At 36.1% G+C, this 12,385-nt stretch overlaps 1 protein-coding gene across 4 annotated transcripts in view; it reads left to right on the plus strand.

The window, feature by feature from the left end:
• COG6 (component of oligomeric golgi complex 6) overlaps nucleotides 1-12,385 on the plus strand; it is a 136,040-nt gene that overhangs the window by 85,385 nt on the left and 38,270 nt on the right. For 3 of the 4 annotated variants that reach the window (NR_026745.1, XM_011535168.2, NM_020751.3), the window contains one exon: nucleotides 9,935-11,617. The exons of the other annotated variant lie outside the window; for it this stretch is intronic. Coding sequence is in view for 2 of the 3 variants with exons in the window: in XM_011535168.2 (XP_011533470.1) it covers nucleotides 9,935-10,082 (148 nt within the window). In the remaining variant the exon portion in view is untranslated. Of the gene's footprint in view, nucleotides 1-9,934; nucleotides 11,618-12,385 lie in introns of those variants that run through there. 4 annotated transcript variants of the gene reach the window in all.

A 12,385-nucleotide genomic window follows, 5' to 3' on the forward strand; every position in this document is an offset into this window, starting at 1 on the left:
ATGTTGTTATGGCAACCAAAATCCTAAAGTACAGATTAATGACAAGCTCACTGATTTTTGGAAGTAAGCAGTTCATTTCTTATCTCAGTTCAGTTTTAAATAATTATTTAGAATACAGTAAATTTCTTTGAACATATTTTAAAATGAGAATAATATCTCCATTTAGTTACATATCTAGAGATTCTCTTCTTCAAAGGATCACAGCTCCTCGCCAGCAATGGAACAAAGCTGGATAGAGAATGACTTTGACAAGCTGACAGAAGTAGGCTTCAGAAAGTCGATAATAACAAACTTCTCTGAGCTAAAGGAGGATGTTCGAACCCATTGCAAGGAAGCTAAAAACCTTGAAAAAAGATTAGATGAATGTCTAACTAGAATTAACAGTGTAGAGAAGACCTTAAATGACCTGATGGAGCTGAAAACCATGGCACGAGAACTATGTGACGCATGCACAAGCTTCAATAGTCGATTTGATCAAGTGGAAGAAAGGGTATCAGTGATTGAAGATCAAATTAATGAAATCAAGAAGAGAAGTTTAGAGAAAAAAGAGTAAAAAGAAACAAACAAAGCCTCCAAGAAATATGGGACTATGTGAAAAGACCAAATCTACGTTTGATTGGTGTACCTGAAAGTGACAGGGAGAGTGGAACCAAGTTGGAAAACACTCTTCAGGATGTTATCCAGGAGAACTTCCCCAACCTAGCAAGGCAGGCCAACATTCAAATTCAGGAAATGCAAAGAACACCACCAAGATACTCCTCGAGAAAAGCAACCCCAAGACATATAATTGTCAGATTCACCAAGATTGAAATGAAGGAAAAAATGTTAAGAGCAGCCAGAGAGAAAGGTCGGGTTACCCACAAAGGGAAGCCCATCAGACTAACCGCATATCTGTCAGCAGAAACTCTACAAGCCAGAAGACAGTGGGGTCAATATTCAACATTCTTAAATAAAAGAATTTTCAACCTAGAATTTCATATCCAGACAAACTAAGCTTCATAAGTGAAGGAGAAATAAAATCCTTTACAGACAAGCAAATGCTGAGAGATTTTGTTACTACCAGGCCTGCCTTATAAGAGCTCCTGAAGGAAGCACTAAACATGGAAAGGAACAGCCGGTACCAGCCACTGCAAAAACATGCCGAACTGTAAAGACCATTGATGCTGGGAAGAAACAGCATCAACTAACGGGCAAAATAACCAGCTAACATCATAATGACAGGATCAGATTCACACATAACAATATTAACCTTAAATGTAAATGGGCTAAATGCCCCAATTAAAAGACACAGACTGGCAAATTGGATAAAGAGTCAAGACACATCAGTGTGCTGTATTCAGGAGACCCATCTCACATGCAGAGACACACATAGGCTCAAAATAAAGGGATGGAGGAAGATCTACCAAGCAAATGGAAAACAAAAAAAGGCAGGGGTTGCAATCCTAGTCTCTGATAGAACAGACTTTAAACCAACAAAGATCAAAAGAGACAAAGAAGGCCATTACATAATGGTAAAGGGATCAATTCAACAAGAAGAGCTAACTATCCTAAATATATATGCACCCAATACAGGAGCACCCAGATTCATAAAGCAAGTCCTTAGAGACCTACAAAGAGGCTTAGACTCCCACACAATAATAATGGGAGATTTTAACACCCCACTGTCAACATTAGACAGATCAACGAGACAGAAAGTTAACAAGGATATCCAGGACTTGAACTCACCTCTACAGCAAGCAGACCTAATAGACATCTACAGAACTCTCCACCCCAAATCAACAGAATATACATTCTTCTCAGCACCACATCGCACTTATTCCAAAATTGACCACATAGTTCGAAGTAAAGCACTCCTCAGCAAATATAAAAGAACAGAAATCACAACAAACTGTCTCTCAGACCACAGTGCAATCAAACTAGAACTCAGGATTAAGAAACTCACTCAAAACTGCACAACTACATGGAAACTGAACAACCTGCTCCTGAATGACTACTGGGTACATAACGAAATCAAGGCAGAAATAAAGATGTTCTCTGAAACTAATGAGAACAAAGACACAACATACCAGAATCTCTGGGACACATTTAAAGCAGTGTGTGAGGGAAATTTATAGCACTAAATGCCCAAAAGAGAAAGCAGGAAAGATCTAAAATCGACACCCTAACATCACAATTAAAAGAACTAGAGAAGCAAGAGCAAACAAATTGAAAAGCTAGCAGAAGGCAAGAAATGACTAAGATCAGAGCAGAACTGAAGGACATAGAGACACAAAAAACCCTTAAAAAAATCAATGAATCCAGGAGCTGGTTTTTTGAAAGGATCAACAAAATTGATAGACGGCTAGCAAGACTAATAAAGAAGAAAAGAGAGAAGAATCAAATAGATGCAATAAAAAATGATAAAGGGAATATCACCACTGATACCACAGACATACAAACTACCATCAGAGAATACTATAAACACCTCTATGCAAATAATCTAGAAAACCTAGAAGAAATGGATAAATTCCTTGACACATACACCCTCCCAAGACTAAACCAAGAAGAAGTTGAATCTCTGAATAGACCAATAACAGGCTCTGAAATTGAGGCAATAATTAATAGCCTACCAACCAAAAAAAAGTCCAGGACCAGATGGATTCACAGGTGAATTCTACCAGAGGTACAAAGAGGAGCTGGTACCATCCATTCTGAAACTTCCAATCAATAGAAAAAGAGGGAATCCTCCCTAACTCATGTTATGAGGCCAGCATCATCCTGATACCAAAGCCTGGCAGAGACACAACAAAAAAAGAGAATTTTAGACCAATATCCCTGATGAACATCGATGCAAAAATCCTCAATAAAATACTGGCAAACTGAATCCAGCAGCACATCAAAAAACTTACCCACCAAGATCAAATTGGCTTCATCCCTGGGATGCAAGGCTGGTTTAACCTATGCAAATCAATAAACATAACCTATCATATAAACAGAACCAGTGACAAAAACCACATGATTATCTCAATAAACGCAGAAAGGGCCTTCGACAAAATTCCACAGCCCTTCATGCTAAAAACTCTCAATAAACTAGGTATTGATGGAATGTGTCTTAAAATAATAAGAGCTATTTATGACAAACCCACAGCCAATATCATACTGAACAGGCAAAAACTGGAAGCATTCCCTTTGAAAACTGGCACAAGACAGGGATGCCCTCTCTCACCACTCCTATTCAACATAGTGTTGGAAGTTCTGGCCAGGGCAATCAGGCAAGAGAGAGAAATAAAGGATATTTAATTAGGAAAAGAGGAAGTCAAATCATCCCTGTTTGCAGATGACATGATTGCATATTTAGAAAACCCCATTTTCCCAGCCCAAAATCTCCTTACGCTGACAAGCAACTTCAGCAAAGTCTCAGGATACAAAATCAATGTGCAAAAATCACAAGCATTCCTATACACCAATAACAGACAAACAGAGAGCCAAATCATGAGTGAACTCCCATTCACAATTGCTACAAAGAGAATAAAATAACCTAGGAATCCAACTTACAAGGGATGTGAAGGACCTCTTCAAGGAGAACTACAAACCACTGCTCAACAAAATAAAAGAGGACACAAACAAATGGAAGAACATTTCATGCTCATAGATGGGAAGAATCAGTATTGTGAAAATGGCCATACTACCCAAGATAATTTGGAGATTCAATGCCATCCCCATCAAGGTACCAATGACTTTCGAATTGGAAAAAAAACTACTTTAAAGTTCATATGGAACCAAAAAAGAGCCCACATTGCCAAGACAATCCTAAGCCAAAAGAACAAAGCTGGAGGCATCACGCTACCTGACTTCAAACTATACTACAAGGCTACAGTAACCAAAACATCATGGTACTGGTATCAAAACAGAGATATAGACCAATGGAACAGAACAGAGGCCTCAGAAATAACACCACACATCTACAACCATCTGATCTTTGACAAACCTGACAAGGGGTAAGGATTCCCTATTTAATAAATGGTACTGGGAAAACTGGCTAGCCAAATGTAGAAAGCTGAACCTGGATCCCTTCCTTACACCTTATACAAAAATTATTTCAAGATGGATTAAAGACTTAAACGTTAGACCTAAAACCATAAAAACCCTAGAAGAAAACTTAGCCAATACCATTCAGGGCATAGGCATGGGCAAGGACTTCATGACGAAAACACCAAAAGCAATGGCAACAAAAGCCAAAGTAGGAAAATAGGATCTAATTAAACTAAAGAGCTTCTGCACAGCAAAAGAAACTACCATCAGAGTGAACAGGCAACCTACAGAATGGGAAAAAATGTTTGCAATCTACCCATCTGACAAAGGGCTAATATCCAGAATCTACAAAGAACTTAAACAAATTTACAAGAAAAAAAACCATCAAAAAGTGGGCAAAGGATATGAACAGATACTTCTCAAAAGAAGACATTTATGCAGCCAACAGACACATGAAAAAATGCTCATCATCACTCACTGGTCATCAGAGAAATGCAAATCAAAACCACAATGAGATACCATCTCACGCCAGTTAGAATAGTGATCATTAAAAAGTCAGGAAACAACGGATGCTGGAGAGGATGTGGAGAAATAGGAATGCTTTTTCACTGTTGGTGGGAGTGTAAACTAGTTCAACCATTGTGGAAGACAGTGTGGCAAATCCTCAAGGATCTAGAACTAGTTTTTTGACCCGGTGAATCCATTACTGGGTATATACCCAAAGGATTATAAATCATGCTACTATAAAGACACATGCACACGTATGTTTATTGAGGCACTATTCACAATAGCAAAGACTTGGAACCAACCCAAATGTCCATCAATGATAGACTGGATTAAGAAAATGTGGCACATATACACCATAGAATACTATGCAGCCATAAAAAAGGATGAGTTCATGTCCTTTGTAGGGACATGGATACTGCTGGAAACCATCATTCTAAGCACACTGTCCCAAGGACAGAAAACCAAACACCACGTGTTCTCACTCATAGGTGGGAACTGAACAATGAGAACACTTGAACACAGGGCGGGGAACATCACACCCTGGGGCCTGTCATGGGGTGGGGAGTAGGGGAGGGATAGCATTAGGAGAAATACCTAATGTAAATGATGAGTAAATGGGGTGCAGCAAACCAACATGGCACGTGTATACCTATGTAACGAACTGGCATGTTGTGCACATGTACCCTAGAACTTAAAGTATCATTAAAAAAAAAAAAAGTTACTTCCCCCTTTCAACTGGTCTTTTTGCATATCTTTTGGTGTTGTGAAAAGCAAGAGGACAGAAACAGTCCTGAAAGTACTTCCCGTCAGCTATGGACTAGGCTGTGATTGATCAAAATAGTAAGTAAGTAAAATCAAGTGCATGCCCATGCTAGAACCAGTGTTCAGCATGCACTGCTAACAACAACAACAAAAAAATTCACTGTTTTCACTGCCTGTACATAGGGTGTTTAGTTGATAAGGACATTCCCAACTTTCAGAAGCATATGACTGAACTGAGATGATTTGTTGGTCATTTTGGATTTAGTCATAGAATCCTTGAAACTTTTACATTTTGGACATTGATTATTTGTTACTATAATGATTCATTATTGTTTGAGACTGTGTATTTCATATGTGATATTAGTAATTAGTGAATAATTTGGGCTAAGACCAGGCAGACAATATAGACAGATAGATCAGTTGATTGATAGACAGATACTTAATATACTTTTTAAGATAAAGGATGAATTTACATAGTAATTATTACTGTAAATAAAAATATAGTAAACTGGCAAGAGAATAAAATGGTTTTAACACTATAGAAACATTCATTTATATACAAATAACTGATACGCTTTTATAAATCATATTTTGGGAAACTTAGTTCCCTAAAATAATGTATGTGTATGTATATGTGATGTATTTATTCATGTAGGTAGTTTTTTTAAAACAATAACTCATTAAAATACTCTTAACTCTCAGTGGAATAATATAGCTTAAAAGCTTAAAGTACCTTATAAAGATTAACCAGTTCAATATTTGGTTTATAGTGGAGAAAGCAGTCTTGGAGAGGTTAAATTACTTGTTCAAGGCAACAATAAGTGGCAGAGCTTCAACTAGAATGTAAGCCTTCTAACAGTAATTTACTCGTCTATACCATTTTATCTGTACTGTACCATATAGAACTGATTAGAAAATACTTAATAAAAGTGAGTGTAGGAACCTGTTGCTTTGGTAGTGATAAATGAACTCATATTTGTTCAGAAATGTGGAATCACACTGTCAGCCAGAGTTCTTGGTCTTTATAATTTAAGTTTGACTCAGACTCGCTTCAGAGAATCTCCCTTTTCATTTTATTTCTATCCTGTTGGCTTTAGCAGGCAGTTAGCAGGCCAGGAGGAGCAGTTCCTTATTCTTTGCTTTTTTTCCTTCCTCCTTCATTCATGTAATACATGAAGATTTCTTTTTATCCAGCGGCTTTGCTTTCTTCATCTTCTCCACCATATGCATATTCTTTTTTTAACCCCTTCCATATCTCAGTGGCTTTTTAAGCTGAGGCGGAGATTGAAGACATACTATACCATCTAACACCAAAATTTAAAATGAATTTTAAACACTCGTTTAGTTTTAACTGGCTTGATTTTATTTAATTATCTGTGTTTATGTGGTACTGCTTTATTTTATCTATTGCAGACTTACAGTGGATTTTCAGCTGTATTGTTAGTTACAGACATTCGTGAGCTAATTTATATAGCTTAGAAACAAATGTGTCAAGTTACAACTAAATTTCAGTAAATTTTAAATTTTTTATCACTGTTACTTGAAAATGAAATTTAAATTTCACTACTTTAGAAGTTTCAACAATACTACATTTACAAGTTAAATACTACATTTACAAGTTACTCTGAACTTTTAAAAATCATATTCAATATTTATAATTGTACATTATTCTTATTTTATACTTTTTATGAGAAGGAATAGCCTTATTTTTGTGTACTCCTTATATACGATCAAATATATGCTGTATTGAGATTGAGTATAGACTTGAGTATGAGGCATGAGTAATGAATGCTTTACACACTTCTCAGAAATCTATGTTATTGCGCTTAGAAAAGAACTAAGAACACTGTTTCTAAAATCCAGTATCTGACTTGTTGCAAAAGTGGATATCAAATGTATGTTATATCTAACAAAGTTTTAAAATACTAGTTTCTAGTAGTTTTTAATGAAAAATAATTTTTGCATTATTTTGTTACATTCATTGTCAAGCAAATTTAATTACAGGAAAGACCACTAATCAATAGATCAAAAAATATCTCCAGGCTGGGCACAGTGGCTCATGCCTGTAATCCCAGCACTTTGGGAGGCCACAGTGGGCGGATCACCTGAGGTCAGGATTTTGAGACCAGCCTTGCCAACATGATGAAACCCCGTCTCTACTAAAAATACAAAAATTAGGCAGGCATGGTGGTGCATGCCTGTAATCCCAGCTACTCGGGAGGCTGAGGCAGGAGAATCACTTGAACCGGGAAGGCAGAGGTTGCAGTGAGCCAAGATCATGCCACTGCACTCCAGCCTGGGTGACAAAGAAGTGAGACTGTCTCGAAAAAGAAAAAAAAAAAATCCCCAAGCCTCATTTAGTTAAGCAGTTTTCTAAACCAGTTTCTACCATCATCCCTTCCCTTTCAGCAGAAAGGTAGTACAACCAGTAGCACCAGTCTACTCTGCTCAGAAAATTTACTCAGCATGTCTTTCTTCTACTCACTGTCATTTTGGAAGCTTTAGCAATTTTTGGAAAATGTCAAGTTACTCCAACTCGTCAAGAGTTTGGACCCCATTAGAACAGTGTACAGATGTTCCAAGATCTTAAGTGGACTTCTTTCCTTATTCCATCCAACTATTTTCTTTTCTAGACCACAGATGCATATATTTCCACAGATAGTCTTAAAAATGTATTATTCTATCCATTATTATCAAAAAAGAACATAATTCCTAGAAAAACAAAGAATGTGTTCTGTTGATGATGACTTCATGACATTGACCTGTGTGACAACTTAACACAATATTACTATTACTGCTATAACTATTACGTTAATCTAGCTAGTCACAGTCATGTACTCTTGACTATGTGAAGAAACAGTTTTCCTGAAATAGCCACTGATTCAGCATTTATGGAAAACAGTGGTGGCTCAAGAGCCCAGAATAGGACTCTGTAAATAAGGAAAAAGTTCTTTTTCTCCATCAAGCATTCAGTGAACATGTATTTATTGAGCATCCATCATATTCAAAATATACTGGGTTTTAAGGGACATGTGAACATAAACAGTGTCAAGTTAGTTGAAATTTTGTAGGACAGGTAAGACATGAACAACATGTATTTCTGTAATTCTAAACAATTTTTTAAGTACATTTTGGAAATTGGGTTATATTGCAGTCATATCCATTTGATGCAGAACTAACCCCTTCCTAATACAAAGCTGTTGGGATCTGAACATCAAGAAAATGTAGAAGCTTTATTGTAAGTTAGGAGTGGTAAAAGCTATATGAAAGGAACAGAAAAAGTGCCATGGACATTCCACAAAGGAAGTAATTATTTCTAGCTCTAAAGATCAGACAAGACTTCATGGATAAGAGAGAACATTTTTGTTGAACATTAAGAGCATTTACAAGTGGTGAAAGAGGCACTCTAGGAAAATGAAGTAGGAGCAAAGGAACTGAGATCAGCAAACCAGAGCCCAGAGAACAGTCAAGGGTTGCACTGGAATTAGAATAGTGATAGGGAAAGTGTTAGATAATTTTTGAATGGTAGAAGGAATTTGGGCTTCTCTGAAACCAAAAGAGGCTACTGAAGCTCTTTGAAAGCCCCAGGTAAGAGAGAGATGTGATAGAAAGTATGCCTCAGCAAGATTGATCTAACAACAGTGCCTAGGATGGATTGAATATTGAAGAGACTGAAAGAGGGAAGAATAGATAGGAGTTTGTGTGTACTCCAGGCAAGAGGTCATTTTAGAACCTGAGCTGAAGTGATACAACATTGTTATGCCATTAACAGAAGTAGGAAACTACAAGAAAAGGAGGTGTGGAAGCAAAGCTTTAAACACACATTTTTATTTTAGTTTTTGTAAAAATCAGAAAATTAGTACCAGTGTTCTCATGGCCAGTACCATGAGTACCATGAGAACCATGAGTACCGTTAGTACCATCTTCTCATGGTGATACATGAATAGTATGAGTAGCTAGGGATGACAGGAAGTTAATGTCATGGAACTATGCAGAGAGTTGTTGCACATTTAATGAACCAATACTGTTTTTTCTAGCTGGATAATTTTGTAAACATTTGCAGGACTCATTCTTTATGTGCTTTTGTAGAAATGTATATTTGTGAGAAAGCTGTGATTTGCTGCAGGCAAGTGTCACATTTTAGCTTGGGGTGATATAGAGAGATGAAGAGAAAGCTAGGAGATGTGGTTGTTAGTGTAAAAGCTGTAAGGTGAAAGAGCAGTTTACTTTAAGTTTTCCTGAGAGATAAAAGTGTTGATAAATTGAAACAATTGTAAGCATCTTTCTTTAATGTGTTACCACTTTTGCAAAATCAATACATTGACATTGGGTCACAGTTTTTGTTTCTTATTTAGCAGTCCTGTATATCAGGCACAAATATATAGCAGTCCAATATATATCAGGAACAAAACACAGTCCATGCCCTCTGCAACCTATATAGTAATGGAGAAAGATTTAATAAATAATGAATACAAAATTATATTTTATCCCAAAATTAGGATTAACTGTGTAGCCATATAGTGATTATTAAATAGTGTATGTGTGATGATAATGAAAATGAAATGTGTTGATTGAAGTGTCAAGCTGTCTTACAATTCTTAGTAAATATATTTTTTTCAAATGATGTGTTTACATTTTGTTTGCTTATCAATAGAGAGCAGATCGTAAAACAATCTACAGAATTAGTCTGCAGAGCCTATGGTGAAGTGTATGCAGCCGTGATGAATCCAATCAATGAATACAAAGATCCAGAGAACATTCTTCACCGATCGCCGCAGCAAGTGCAGACGCTTCTTTCCTGATTATCTTATTTCATTGTGTTAGCAAAATATGACCTCCCTAAAACACTGAAGGTTATTTTTTATTCTTTGAATTTTTACTCTATAATTTGATAGTTACAGTTTTCTTTGTATCATAAGATTGTAAGTCCCGATAATTTTTTTTTTTTTGGTCTCAGTAACAGGGAAGTAAGTAACATGTTGACCTGAGCTAGTATTGCTGTGTATCTACTCTAAATGAGATGATCTATTTTTTTGCTAGCCATCTCTCCAGCTCTGCAGTTTTCACTGTATTCAGGAAGCATAAAGTAGTATGAAAGGTTTGAAGAATTTTTTTTTACAAGACTAGTTCTAAATTAACAGCTTATAAAAAATTTGTCTAAATTTAATAATTAGTATAAGGATATGACCTAATAAATGTCTCCTTACCTAAAGATTCATTTGCTTTCTTTTAATATGAGTAGGCATACTTAGTAGCTTTTCTGAACCTAGCCTATGTCTCTGTCCCCAAAATAGCTGCCCTTAAAGAGTTGTTAGCAGAGAGAAAAATAACAGTGAATGTGCTCCTGGTGTATATGGCAGTGAATCTCCTTTCTGTTCTACTTTAGCATACTATATATATTTGACTGTGTACATTCTTATGCAATTTTAAGTATACACTCAGCAATAATTAGAAAAAAAGGAGAGAGAAAAGTGATTTAAACAGGGTGGATTCCACTCTGTGGGAGCCTTCGATGGAACTCAAGGTGGAGCTCAGCCTTTCCAATGAGCTCTAAGCATGTAGATAGCCTGAGCTGTGTCTAAGCCTGGTGTTTAAAGATGGGTATTTGTCATACAATATGGGTCCTAAATCCAACCAACTACACATTTTATCTGGTGTTCAAACCAAAGAAACAATGATCTACTCAAACATTGGAGAAAAAAACTGCCAGAGGAGGAGTTGCCAATTGGCAGTGTGTCTTATCTCCATGTTGTAACTGGACTCTGACTTTAGACCATTACCTATTAGGAAGATTAAAAATGACTGTATTTTTAAAGGAATAAATCCCAGTGTGCCTGATTTGACATTCTTGTCAGCAAAAAAAAACTTAATTTCTAGTAAATCTATAAAAATGGGTAAGTCCCTAAATTACAAATGAGAAAATTGAAGCACAAGGAAAAAAATAACTAGTTTGAAATATTTTGAAAAGTAATAACATAAAACTAGTATTTGTAGAAGATTATGTGTTGTATATAACAAATTAGTATTTATAGAATATGACCTATTTATCTGAAGTTTATAATTGTTTATACCTAATACAGTTCTTTTTGGAGTAAGAATGATTATATAATCGTTATCCATTTGGGTATAAATCTGTATTTTTAGTTTTTTCCCTTTGATTAGTATGTGTTACATATAAAGACAGAAAATAAAGTATAAATCAAGAGCTTAAATTGTATATAATTTATTTCTACAGAGAAAGAAGATTGATACCTTGCTATGAGTGAATTCCTTTGTTTTATAGGGAAAATTTATTGTGCTTTTTACCTGGTTTTTTCAAATAAAATATTAAAATATTTCTAGAGCAGCAATTATTGCAGCTGTCCTGTAGATATATATCCTATTGATGTGTTTTTAGAAAATGCACTAATGGAAAAGGAAATACAACATAGGGCAAAACTGAGGTAATCAGTGAAAGACTCACAGGAAAAATGTGGTATATATGATCTTGAGAGCTAAGGCAAAATAAAACATTGTAAGTAATAATCTATTAATATAACACCTAAATTTGCTATTACTCCATAGTTTGCATTTTGAACTATTTTCATTTGGCATAAGTATAACCTGGAAAAGGCATGTCTGCCCTTCTTTCAGAGAGGAAAGGTGTTTGAATGGCAAAACCCTTATGTGGTTGAACTTTTCCATTTCTTTCTCTGTGCCTTCATTTGAGCAGGTGGATATTACCTGAGGAAAAAGATGACACAAATGGACTAATTGGCTTTACTCGAAATTCATGATTACAGTGTTCAAATGGGCACTGCTGTAGTTGGAATGTTTATGTTTCCCCAAATTCATGTTGAAATCCTCACCCCTCAGGGGATGGTATTAGGAGGTGGGTCCTTTGAGAGGTGATTAGATTGTCAGGATGAAGTCCTCATTAATGGAATTAGTACCCTTACTCAAGAGGCTCAAGAGATCCCTGTCCCTTCTACCATGTGACGTTACAGTGAGAAGACAGCCATCAGTGAGGAAGTGGGCCCTCACTAGACACCAAATCTTTTGGTGCCTTGATTTTGGGCTTCGAGCCTCCAGAACTGGGAGAAATAAATGTCTGTTGTTTTTATAA

The sequence above is a fragment of the Homo sapiens genome, chromosome 13 (genome assembly GCF_000001405.40).
Source record: "Homo sapiens chromosome 13, GRCh38.p14 Primary Assembly".
Lineage (NCBI taxonomy): Eukaryota > Metazoa > Chordata > Mammalia > Primates > Hominidae > Homo > Homo sapiens.